We start from the raw sequence: 14102 nt of genomic DNA, 5'->3' as shown, positions 1-14102 counted from the left end.
GAGTGCAGTGGTGCGATCTCGGCTTGCTGCAACCTCCGCCTCCCTGGTTCAAGCAATTCTCCTGCCTCAGCCTCCCAAGTAGCTGGGATTACAGGTGCATACCACTATGCCTGGCTAATTTTTGTATTTTTAGCAGAGATGGGGTTTCACCATGTTGGTCAAGTTGGTCTTGAACTCCTGACCTCAGGTGATCCACCCTCCTCGGCCTCCCAAAGTGCTGGGATTACAGGTGTCAGCCACCAAGCCCGGCCTGCCTTGTTTTCATAAACTAAAAATAAAATCCTAAGCCCCCCAACCAACTAAATGGACCCCCTCTTGCCCAGGTGACCCCAGAGAAACCTGAAAAACTGAGTTCTTGGCCATGAGGGGAGGGAGGTTGGACACACCTCATTATACCCTCTCCCTTTTGGAGTTTAGGCACAACTGGCCAGCATTAATGCTAAAACAGAGATCATAAGACTAATAAAATGGACTCTTCGTGACAATAAGATACCGAATTATAAACAGGACCTAAGGCCATGCCAGACAAGGGGTAATTCACACACTCCTACAGGTTGCTGCAGCCCAGTGTATTGGTTAATAGAATTCCTTATCTTAAAACATTCCTTTCTGCTGACTCCAGATTTTTAAACAGAGCTTTACTCCTTTAGCCAATGGCAAATTAAAGAATCTCTGAATCCACCTATAACCTGTAAGCTCCCCCACTTCAAGATATCCGCCTTTGCAGGCTGAACCAATGTATACATTCCATGTATTGATTTATGACTTTGCCTGCAAGTCCTGCCTCCCTAAAATGTATAAAACCAAACTGTAGGCCGGGCGTGGTGGCTCACACCTATAATCCCAGCACTTTGGGAGGCCGAGGCGAGCAGATCACGAGGTCAAGGGATCGAGACCATCCTGGCCAACATGGTGAAACCCCATCTCTACTAAAAATACAAAAAAAAAATTAGCCGGGTGTGGTGGCATGTGCCTGTGATCCCAGCTACTTGGGAGGCTGAGGGAGGAGAACCACTTGAACTCGGGAAGTGGAGCGAGCTGAGATTGCTCCACTGCACTGCACTTCAGCCTGGCAGCAGAGCGAGACTCCGTCTCAAAAAAAAAAAAAAACAAAAAAAACCTGTAATCCCCAACTGCTTCCCGTGCACTATCTTGGACCTCTTGAGACTGTGTTCCTGGGCCATGTTCATTCATATTGGCTCAGAATAAACCTCTTTAAAATATTTAGAGCCTGGTTTTTGGATTAACATTTTGATTATTTATGCTTTTTTAGTTTACATGAACTACTAAGTTCTTTTTGCCCAAGGGTTGAAACCAAATACAAGTCGCAACACTTTATCATATTGGAGTCAGCTGTTAAGTTTCTGTTCCCAAGATGTGAGGAGGAGCAGTGTCTTACTCATCTTGGTCTCCTCAGCATCTAACCCAGCAACTGGCATAGAGTAGGACCTCAATCATGTTTTCAAAAAATTAATAAATGACTCCCTGGGCATGGAGATGAGCAATGTAGTGCACATTTGACTGATCTGATTTCTTCTTTTTTAAATCATGAATGTATTTCTTTTTAATTATTTTCGTAGAGACAAGGACTTGCTATGTTGCCCAGGGTGGTCTTGAACTCCTGGTCTCAAGTGATCCTCCCACCTTGGCCTCCCAAAGTGTGGGGATTACAGACGTGAGCCACCATGCCCAGCCATGATTTGATTTCTTGACAGAAACTCACCAAACATCAGGAATCTTTTCCACCAGCTCACTGGAAAATCCTGAAACTTAGAGAATCTCTCACTCCACAGCTGGCCGGAATGGAAGGCAAGGTTGTGGTTGGGTTACTGGTTTTTGCCCAGGTAGGAAAGTAAGGGAGCCTTTATGATAAGGATCATGGTCGCTGAAACAACCATGGTTGCTTCAAAAGTAGCCTCCTTGCATTATGCAGTTTTTTTAAAAAAAACTTTATTTTTAGTTATTTCTTAGAGACAGGATCTCACTCTGTTGCTCAGGCTGGAGTGTAGTGGCATGACTATATCTCACTGCCTCCTTGAACTCCTGGGCTCAAGTGATACTCCTGCCTCAGCCTCCCAAGTAGTCGGGACCACAGGCACACACCACCATGCCCAGCTCATTTTCAAGTTTTTTGTAGAGACAGGGTTCTGCTATGTTACCTAGGCTAGTCTTGAACTCCTAGGCTCAAGGGATTCCTCTGCCTTAGCTTTCCAAAGTGCTGGAATTACAGGTGTGAACCATTGCACGTGGCCTGTGCAGTTGTTTTGATTTCCTTTCTAAACAGATGAGAATGAAATATGAGCAAATCCTGTTGGGTCCTTCTAAAGAGGCTCTGGGAAGATGGCACTGGCTCTGTTTGTCTATGCCCAGGACAGCTCCTGGAGAGCAGTGGGGAAGCACAGGAAAGGGTCCCTGCAAGGCATGCTCAAGGTGGTGCTGTCAAGAACAGTGGAACTTGGCTGGGTGCAATGGCTCACGCCTGTAATCCCAGCACTTTGGGAGGCCGAGGTGGGTGGATCTCCTGAGGTCAGGAGTTCGAGACCAGCCTGGCCAACATGGTGAAACCCCATCTCTACTAAAAATAAAAATACAAAAATTAGCTGGGCATGATGGTGGGCGCCTGTAATCCCAGCTACCTGGGAAGCCGAGGCAGAAGAATCACTTGAACCCGGGAGGTGGAGGTTGCAGTGAGCTGAGATAGCGCCACTGCACTCCAGCCTGGGCAACAAGAGTGAAACTCTGTCTCAAAAAACAAAACAAAACAAAAACAAATTCCAGCATGTCCTGCCTGGCCTTTGTCCTGTCATCCCCATTACCCTGACTCAGTATTCTCAAAAGCCTGGAATATAGTTGCCTTCTAGTCTCAGGTTACACCAGAGCGGGGCACCTGGATGCATAGCACTCCTCCACCCCACCCCCACCCCATAGACTTTCAGGAAAGAGGAGTCAGCTTTCAGCAGGACTGCCAACCTGTCTGGAAGGAGGGAGGACAGCAAGCTCTGTAGCATCCCTAGAGAGTGGTTGCCCAGTCTCCCAAACTGCAGGGAGACAGCTCTCTCTCTCTCTCTTTGCCAGAGGAAGAATGAACTTCTGTCACCCTCTGCACTCAAGGAACTCCATCACCTCTAAATTATTTGTGTCAACCACTGAAGTCCAAGGAGAATTTCAGAGCTGGGAGAATTTGTTTGTATTTTCACAATTTATAATGCTCTTTTTGTCAGACCAATTTGCCAATACAAAAGGATGGCCTAACATACCATTATGGAGAGAGGAAACACAACAAGCAAACTAAAGCTTTTGCAACATCAAAGTGAATATTATCTTTGGCAAAATGTAAGAGAGATGTGGGGAAATAAAGGCTGCTGGGAAGGTTCTGTTACTAAGGGGTTTGTCAGCTGATCCCCGAGGCCCCTTTTGGCTCTGAAGTTCTGGAGAATTAGATTCTTTCCTACATTTATTCTGCTTTCTCTGTCCTTTTATCGCATGTGTTTATTTCACCAGCTTTGTTTCTTCTATGCTCATCACATTTGCATGCTGATTTTTCTAACAATGATAAGGAAAGTCTCTCTCTGAACGGAAATTTTGATAGCACAATGGGTGGACAGGACAGTTGTGATTTGTAGAAATGTTTCCTCACAGCTATCTTACCTGCATGAATATTCTTGCTGGGACTTCCTAGGGAGTGTGTCTTCTTGTCTTCTGTTCCTTGAATAATAACCTGATCATTTACTGACATGTTGACCTAAAAATAAATTCCATATCACTTCTCTCTCTCATTAATGATGTGTCAACTGTTATGCTACGAGATGCAAATATGTTATCTCATTTAAAATTCCTTTTTTTTTTTTTTTAACCAAGTCTCACTCTGTTGCCGAGGCTGGAGTGCAGTGTCGCCATCTCGGCTCACTGCAACCTCCGCCTCCCAGCTTCAAGTGATTTTCGTGCCTCAGCCTCCTGAGATTACAGGTGATCACCACCACGCCCAGCTAATTTTTTGTATTTTTAGTAGAGACGAGGTTTCACCATGTTGGCCAGGCTGGTCTCAAACTCCTGACCTCAAGTGATCCGCCCGCCTTGGCCTCGCAAAGTGCTGGGATTACAGGCATAAGCCACCACGCCCAGCCTCATTTAAGATTCTTTACAAACCTTTTGGGACATATAATTCTCATGTGACAGATGAAGAAAGTGAGTCCTAATGAGATTAAGAAACTTGATGCTGTCACACAGCTGGTAAGTGGCTGAGTCAGGGTTGGGATCAAAACTTTCCTGACTCCAGAATCTTTCTTTTTTCTTCTCTTTTCTTGTTTCTCTTTCTTTCTTTTTTTCTTTTTTTTTAGAGACAAGGTCTATCTGATCTGTGGCCCAGGCTGGAGAGCAGAGGCTGCTCATTGCAGCCTTGACCTCCTGGGCTCAAGCGATCCTCCCACCTCATCCTCAACCTGTAGCTGGGACCACAAGCACGGGTTACCACGCCCAGCTCAGAATCTTAATGAGTTTGTATAACTGGTTCCTTTCCCTGCCCCCTTTCCCTAAACTGTTAATATCATCCTCTTTCTCTTCCCTCAAGACATTTCAGAGTCTGTATTTTCCAGTGCAGGGAATCTTCATTTGGGTTTGCAGAAGAGCTTCAGGGAATCAGTGAGCCCCCTGAAATTGTAAGCACCTGCTATATGTAGCCATTTGTATACATGTTTCTGAATGAGGTACCACCACTTTTATCACATTCTCAAATGGTTATTGGACTCTGAGTGTTGGTGTGGGGTGGCTCGTTCCAAGGATCTCAAGCTTCAAGGTTTAGGACAGAGGTTCCCAAATGTGAGTGTGCATTAGTCTTACCCAGGAAGCTTGTTAAAATGCAAATGTTCTGTCTCACCCCCATTGACTTATTTGGTAGATCTGGGGCCAGACCAGGAATCTGCATTTTAATAAGCGCCTCAGTTGCATGTGATACCATAGATGTGGGACACATGCCTCCTTAGGAGAATGGATTATTCTCCATGACAAGTTACTCAATAGTACTTACTCAGTCCCTGGTGATCCTGGATTCTTGAGTTACCCCACCACTTAACTGTAGTGATTTATTTGAAATGGATCCAGGCATTTTCCACTTCTCCTATGACAGATTCTTAACCCTATTAGTAGTGACTATTAGGGTTGTGCTCCACAGACAGAGAAAATCGGCCAGGCGCAGTGGCTCATGCCTGTAATCCAATCACTTTGGGAGGGCAAGTCGGGAGGATTGCTTGAGCCCAGGAGTTCAAGACCAGCCTGGGTAACATAGGGAGACCCCCAACTCCACCAAATGCTAATACCTACAACAATAATAATACATAAGAAAGAGAAAATTCAAAATATTAGGACAAATCAAGAGGAATTGCAACAAATTCTCCCTAATGGAAATACTCAAATTGCTGGATACTCCAGGACTGATGCCATCAACACATACTACCTACTCAATATTAATTCTCACTCTGCCCCCAGCAGAGGGATTTTGTTTGTTTTTAGAGACAAGGTCTCACTGTGTTGCTGGTCTGGCCTTGAATTCCTTGGCTCAAGTGATCCTCGAGCCTCGGCCTCCCAAGTAGCTGGGATTACAGGTGCGTGCCTCCATGCCTGGCCTGGCAGAAGGTTTCTAAGATGATTGTCCTTGTCCCCTTCCTACTCTACATTGACACAATTAGGATAGCTGGAGTTTTAAAAACCAGATGCCTCTCTTGGGCTTTCATGGAGGAGTCCCTCGGGAAGGCCAGTGGCTCTCTACTCAGAGGCTTCATAAAGTGGCCTTCACCCTGGTGAGTCCACTGAGGACCAGGAAGGGACCTCAGCCTTGCAGTTTCCTCAACCTTCATGGCAGATATGTGGGTCATTTTTTCTGCCAGGCTTAGGTTAGCCTAACCCCCTTTGTCAACAGGAAGCTGGTGGGATATGAAACCCTGTGACACTTGTCATTGTATTTTAGGTCAGGCATGGGTAGAGTGGCCACCTGACTCATCCTAGGTCAATTAAATTGTCTCTTGGGTTTTAAAATAAGGAGGCTCAGAGACCTTAAACTGTCTGGAGCTGGAAAATTATGTGAATTAAGGTCTGAGGCAGATATGTCTGGTTTTATAAGCAAATGAAACAGAAAAAGTCTATTGGGGTGTAGCATTGGGAGAGGGACAGAGAAAGTTGCCAGTTTCTGTTTTATTCTGTGCTCATTTGTTTTCTGTTCTTGGTTATGAAACACCTCTGTAAGTCTTTCAATAAATCCATCTTTTTTTTGCTAAAGTAAGCTCAAATGATTTTTTTTTTTTTTGAGAGGGAGTGTCACTCTATTGCCCAGGCTGGAGTGCAGTGGTGCAATCTTGGCTCACTGCATCCTCCATCTCCCGGGTTAAAGCAATTCTCCTGCCTCAGCCTCCCGAGTAGCTGGGATTATAGGTACCCGCCACCACGTCTGGCTAATTTTTGTATTTTTAGTTGAGATGGGGTTTCACCATGTTGGCCAGGCTGGTCTCGAACTCCTGACCTCAAATGATCCACCTGCCTTAGCCTCCCAAAGTGCTGGGATTACAGGCGTGAGCCACCACGCCTGGCCCAAATGATTCTTTACTATAGAACTTCCCAAACTTTTCCACTGCAGATAGAAAATGCTAATACTTGCATGTAACAAATTTTACTATGGTATAAGCACACTTGTACCATTCATGGTACCACATTTGGGGAGTTTCACTTTACTACAACATAAAATAGGATAAGGAAGAAGGTTTGTAATCAGTAGACTGCCAGAGAAAATACGAAGTAGGCTGTGGAGTTGAGATAGAATATGGGTTCATGCTGAGGTGGAATGTGGGTGTGAAGATTTCCTCCTTCCAGGACAGGTAACCAGTGGCTTTTAGTACAAGACACCTCAGCCTCTTGGAACCTAGCCATGGTTTGGTTCACTGAGGTCAAAGCTTTGGGGGACTCTAGCTGCAAAACTCTAGACTGACTGTGCTGGTTCTTTCTTGCAGCCTTGTGTCCTAGAGTACAGCAAAAAAGGGACAAACTCCAGTCTAGGTTGCCCAGTTGAAAGCATTTAGGGCAATTATATAGTTAATCCCTTTGTGGGACGCCCTTTTTCCTCTGCCAGTATCAACTCTCAGAGCTGCGAGAGACCACATCGAGAAATTATGAATTCATCTTGCCAGACAGCAACAGTTGAATTCTCTGCCATGCCCTTTCTTTGGCTCAAGTTAATGCCTTAATTAGAAAAGAGAGAGATTCTTGGCTGGGCATGGTGGCTCATGCCTGTAACCCCAGCACTTTGGGAGGCAGAGGCAGGGGGAATCACTTGAGCCCAGGAATTCAAGACCAGCCTGGGCAACATGGTGAGACCCTGTCTGTGCCAAAAAAAAAAAAAAATGCTTAGCCAGGCATAGTGGCACCATCCTGTGGTTCCAGCTACTCAGGATGCTGAGAATTGGATTGGATTGCTTGAGGATTGGATTATTGCTTGAGCCCAGAAGGTCAAGGCTGCAGTGAGCCATGTTTGTGCTTCTGCACTCCAGCCTGGGTGACAGAGCAAGACTTTGCCTCAAAAAAAAAAAAAAAAAAAAAAAGAGAGAGAGAGAGATCGAGATCCTGATAACTAAAAATGTGCATAACTGAGAAATGGGGAACCTGGGCTCTGGGCCCCTCCAGAGCACTCCCCACTGCATGCCCTATAAATAATGTCAGATATATTACATCGTAAAATGCATTCTTTGATTCGGACAGGAATGTAGGGAGGTCTGGGTGTCAGACTTGAGAATAAACATGACAAAGGAGACCCAGCCCATTTTTTCCCCTGAAGTAGAATAACTAAGAAAAAAAAGGTAGAGTTGGGTGTAGCCCAAGTTGCTGCTAAGCAGAAGAGACCTTGCAGCAGTGGTCACTGCAGACCAATTAAGGTGCTGTTTCTAAATAACTCGCAGGTTATTTATTGCTTATAACCAGTAGAGTTCCTTAAAATAAAATTGACAAACAGTCCACCAGGTCTCTATGGAAAGAAGATGCCCCTGTACTCGATTCAAATGAACATGTCAGGGAGTCTTACCTCTGCAACAGCTGCCAGGCACCAAGCAAAAGTGCACTGCCGTGTTCTGGAAGCAGAACATCAATTTATTCATGTACAATGTGAAATACTATGCTAAACTTTAAAGTTTGTGGAAGAAAACGCGCAAGAATACCCAAGAAGGCCAGGCTCAGTGGCTCATGCCCGTAATCCCAGCACTTTGGGAGGCCGAGATAGGCGGATCACCTGAGGTCAGGAATTCGAGACCAGCCTGGCCAACATGGTGAAACCCCATCTCTACTGAAAATAAAAAAATTAGCCAGGCGTGGTGGCACGTGCCTGTAATCCCAGCTACTCAGGAGGCTGAGGCAGGAGAATTGCTTGAACCTGGGAGGTGAAGATTGCAGTGAGTCTAGATCATGCCACTGCACTCCAGCCTGAGCGATAGAGCGAGACTCCGCCTCAAAAAAAAAAAAAAAAAAAAAAAGCCAAGAAACAGAAGCATAATGACAGAGGATCTCAAAACACACCATAAAGTTTCAGTAATTAAAATAGTATGGTATTAGCATAGGAATAAATAAATCAATGCAACAAAACAGAGTCCAGAAACTCTATGTAAATGGAAACTTAGTAAATTGTCATGGTGGGGTGGGGTGTGGTGGCTCACGCCTGTAATCCTAGCACTTCGGGAGGCTGAGGTGGGCGGATCATGAGGTCAAGAGATTGAGACCATCCTGACCAACATAGTGAAACCCCATTTCTACTAAAAATACAAAAATTAGCTGGGCATGGTGGCATGCACCTGTAGTCCCAGCTACTCAGGAGGCTGAGGCAGAACCTGGGAGGCAGAGGTTGCAGTGAGCCGAGGTCGCACCACTGCACTCCAACCTGTCAACAGCGCAAGATTCTGTCTCAAAAAAAAAAAAAAAAAAAAAAAAAAAATCGGCCGGGTGCGGTGGCTCAGACCTGTAATCCCAGCACTTTGGGAGGCCGAGGCTGGTGGATCACAAGGTCAGGAGATCAAGAACATCCTGGCTAACATGGTGAAACCCCGTATCTACTAAAAATACAAAAAATTAGCTGGGCGTGGTGGCAGGCGCCTGGGAGGCTGCTCGGGAGGCTGAGGCAGGAGAATGGCGTGAGCCCGGGAGGCGGAGCTTGCAGTGAGCCGAGATGGCGCCACTGAACTCCAGCCTGGGCGATAGAGCGAGACTCCGTCTCAAAAAAAAGAAAAAACAAACAAAATTATCATGGTGGCATTTTAAATTATTGGGGATGAGGTATTGGAATTATTAGATTTTAATTTGAAAATAAACTTAGATTTATACCTTACATTATATCAAAAAATAAAATTCCAGATGAATTAAAGATCTAAACATAAGGAAAAAAATAAAAAGGTTATATAAAAAATAACATTATAACAGGCAAAGTTTTTAAAAAAGTGAGCCATGAATACCAGAAGCCATAAAAGAAAAGATTACTAGATTTGAGATTATGGAAATGTTATACTTCTTTTGGAGGAAATATGTTATAAACAAAATCAAAAGGCAAGTAACAGACTGAAATAAAATACTTGGAACATATAATCAACTGCTGTTAATTTCAACAAACTGACAAGAAAAACAGTGTAGCCAGGAGCAGTGGCTCACACCTATAATTCCAGAACTTGGGGAGGCCAAGGCAGGCAGATGGCTTGAACTTGGGAGTCTGAGACCAGCCTGGGCAACATGGCGAAATCCAATCTCTATGAAAAATACAAAAAATTAGCCACGCCTGGTGGCTGACGTGCACCTGTAGTCCCAGCTACTGAGACAGAAGGATTGCTTGATTCCAGCAGGTTGAGGCTGCAGTGAGCAGAGATCGCACCACTGCACTCCAGCCTGGGTGACAAAGTGAGATTCTCCCTCTCTCAAAAAACAAACAAACAAAAAAACAAAAACAAACAAAAAAAAACCAGTCTAATCATTTTATTTTTTTTGAGGTGAAGTTTGCTCTTGTCGCCCAGGCTGGAGTTCAATGGCGCGACCTTGGCTCACTGCAACCTCCTTCTCCCAGGTTCAAGCAATTCTCCTGCCTCCACCTTCCAAGTAGCTGGGATTACAGGTACCCACGACCGCCTCCAGCTAATTTTTGTATTTTTAGTAGAAATGGGGTTTCACCATGCTGGCCAGGCTGGTGTCAAACTCCTGACCTCAGGTAATCCACCCACCTCACCCTCCCAAAGTCCTGGGATTACAGGCAGGAGCCACGGCGCCTGGCCCAGTCTGATCATTTTAAAACATAATTTATAACAGAATACAAACAACTTAGAAGTATAGCATACCAGCAAAATAAAATAAGACCAACTTACTACTTTCTACCCATCACATTGGCTAAAGTTAAAACACAAAATAATATATCAAGGCTTTTGGGAAACGGTTATGCACGTATATCTGTTTTTTATACTATCCTGTCTCCAGATGCACATATATCCTTGATAGGAGTGGAAATCTAAATTGGTACCAAGTTTTTGGAAGGCAATGTGTAGTATGTATTCCATTTTCATTCAATTTCCAGGAATTTATTCTATAGAAAAACTTACACACGTACAGTCATGAGTAATGTGTGGGTACAAGGATGTCTCCTTTAGCAGCTTATGAGAACAACGACAAAAAATAAAATAAAATAAAACTAGATCATTTCCTATTTCTGTTTCTTTCTTTGAACAAGGTACAATTGATTAAGTTTACACTCCACAAATTACAATTCTTCTTTCAGAAATTACTTACTTTGATTGGAGTCTAAGGCATTTCCAAACTCTTCAGTCACACTTTCCAGAAAATATCTCAGTTTATTCCCACATTCACTGTGTATGAGTTTTACTGCTTTACTTCTCAGAGGACAATCTTATTTTCTAGGACTCATGTATTAGCAATTAGAAAACTGGTAAAATGCCATGTGGGTTCAATGTTACCAACTTTCCTTCCCCACTTTAGAGACTAAAGGGCTGTTGCTCTTATGGACTCATGACCAAATTGTCGAGGAAGAGGGATCCTGAATGCAAGGTACGGATGTTGGGGATGCAGAGGAGAAGGGAACCAAAATAGGAGTTACTAGTAAGTGCTCATCATCATAAAAAGCAGTAGATCACACTGTGGGATATTTTACTCCCTAGGAGACATTTGGTCATACCTGAGGAAGTTTCGGGTTGTCACAACTAAGAGGCTGTTATTGGCATCTAGTTGGTAGAGGCCAGGGATGTTGCTAAGTATCCTACAATGCACAGGACATCTCCCCACAACAAAGAATTATCCAGCCCAGGATAACAATAGTACTAAAATTGATGACTGATATAAGGTGATGCAAAGCACCTTACATGGATTATTTTATTAATAGTTGCAATGACTCTATGAGGTAGGAACAATAGAAAATCTCTTTAATAGACTTTCACTAACTCAACTTATTAATCAAATTAACGGATGTTCGCTGCCTCTTCCATAAAACATATGCAGTGATGTTTATGGTCACAAAATGTTCAAGGCTGGCCACTCTCTGGGATGCCTGTGCACTTCTGCTTCATCACTAGAACTGTACTTACCAAGTTGCTTTTAGTAATGGACCTTGTAATTTTTTATTATTGTAATTATGTATTTTAGTCACATATTACATAAATCAGAGTTTCCCAATTTTTTTTTTTTTTGAGACAGAGTCTTGCTCTCTTCCCCAGGCTGGAGTGCAATGGCATGATCTTGGCTCACTGCAGCCTCCACCTCCTGGGTTCAAGCGATTCTCCTGCCTCAGCCTCCCAAGTAGCTGGGCGTGCACCATCATGCCAGGCTAAGTTTTCTATTTTAGTAGAGATGAGGTTTCACTATGTTGGCCAGGCTGATCTGGAACTCCTGACCTCAGCTGATCCGCCCACTTCAGCCTCCCAAAGTGCTAGGATAATAGGCATAAGCCACCGCACCTGGCCCCAAGAGTTTCCCAATCTTGGCACTGACATAAATGAATGAAATGAGTGCAAAGATAAAGAGAGTTTTTCTATGATAGCATAGTCTCATGTGGCAGAGACTGGCTATGTCCTCACAAACCTGTCTCCTCTAATTGCTGGGCACAGAGTTGGACTACATTTCCCAGAACCCTTTGCATTGGATGGGACTATGTCTCTACTTTTCTTACCAAGGGACTGTGAGCAGAAGTGGTATGCTTCCACTTCTTATCTTCCAGGCTGAGGTAGTTAGTTAAGAGCGAGTGTGCCTTCATCGTCCTTCGCCTCTTTCTTTCCCCTTCTTCTCACTTGATGCATTCAAAAGCAGTAACCTTGGAAGCCACATATGGAAGATTGCAGAGCCAAAAATGAAGGGCCTACACATCCCTGAATCATGCTTGGAGGAGAGCCACTCATCAATTAGGAGCACCTGCTTTGGCCTCTATGTGAATAAGAAACTTCCATTGTTCTTGAATTGCTATACATTTCTGGGTTTGATTGTTAGAGTAAATAGTGTTTTCTTAAAAAAAAAAACACAACAGGGTTGAAAGTTTTGGAAATACTTGTAAAAGTGAGTCCCTCAAAATTCACAATTAAATTAGGTGTGGAGGCCAGGCGCAATGGCTCATGCCTGTAAACTCAGTACTTTGGGAGGCTGAGGCGGGCGGATCACCTGAGGTCAGGAGTTTTAGACCAGCCTGGCCAACATGGTGAAACCCTGTCTCTACTAAAAATACAAAAGAAAATTAACGGGGTGTGGTGGTGGCTGCCTGTAATCCCAGCTATTCGGGAGGCTGAGATAGAAGAACCTCTTGAACCCAGGAGTTGGAGGTTGCAGTGAGCTGAGACCGCGCTGCCGCATTCCAGCCTGGGTGACAGAGCGAGACTCCATCTCAAAAAAAAAAAAAAAAAAAAAAAAAGAAACAAACAAACAAAAAATTAGTTGTGGGAGAGACAATGGTAAAATATTGGGATATTGGGAACGAAGTCATAAGCATCTAAAAGAATTTTACTTTTCTATTTATTTTTAAGAGTCTTTAAGCTCTGGTTTCATTTTGAGGAAATCATTGACTATGCATTGCTGGCATGGCTTGTGGAAGGAAACCATCTTGGATTCTAATCAGCAAACCCAAAAGGCCCAGCCTTACATCAAAGGATTGACCTGTATTCATGTGCATTTAGCTATTTTAAGTTGAAACTCAAGGTTTAAAGTAAATATATATCATTTTTTATGATGTCTGGCTTTAACTAATTTTTTAAAATAAACTACTTACCACTAGTGTCGATCCCATTGAGTGAGAGAACTTCTAGAGCTCTGCCAATTTACAAAGGAGGAATCTGGGGTTCCAGAAGGTATGGTGACTTTCCCAAATCACATGGATAGCAGGTGGCCCAGCCAGCATTTACTCTAGGCTCCCACTTCCCCAATGTTACTCGTGGTGTCTTTTTTTCCTCTTGGGAACTCTGGGAATACTGAGCCAAAGGCCATGATCTCTGTATCTGATGGAGAAGCCAGTTCTGGCTTCCAGAGGCTTGTTACAAACAATGGGTAGCAAATGCTCCCAAGGAAGTTGCTCATTTGGCAAATGCTTTAGTTTTTAGGGGTACTTAACTGCATGAAAAATAGAGCCAAGGAGCACAGACCCTGGCTCTGTGTCAGTCCTGCTCAGAGATCCCAATGCAGGCTCCACCTCAATGCAACTGGTGTCTCCATCCCTGCGATGCTATAGCCACCAGTCTTCGGGAAATGCTCCCGATCTCAGGCTCCCTCTCACTGTCCCAGAACTTTCTTTATGGTTCACAAACACATTAAGCACATTATCTTGTTTAAGTCTCTCAACCACCCTGTAAGTTAGGCAGGGCAGATTTAACCTCATCTTATAGAACGTTGAAGCTGAGAGAGGTTTCATTATTTTCTGAAGTCCCATGGTTGCTATGTGGTAGGGTTAGAAAGGAAATATCAACACAGGTTTTTTATTTCCCAGTTCTGCCACACCAAGTGAACTTCAGCCACCACATCAAATCCTGTCACCCTACAACCCTGTGCGCCTTCAGCAGAGGCAGCTTGGAGCCCTAGTGAGAGAAGGCCTTTGGCAGCGGCCAGTCCTGTTTTGAGCCAGG

The sequence above is a fragment of the Homo sapiens genome, chromosome 1, assembly GCF_000001405.40.
Source record: "Homo sapiens chromosome 1, GRCh38.p14 Primary Assembly".
NCBI lineage: Eukaryota > Metazoa > Chordata > Mammalia > Primates > Hominidae > Homo > Homo sapiens.
Note: the sequence above shows the minus strand (reverse complement) of the source record.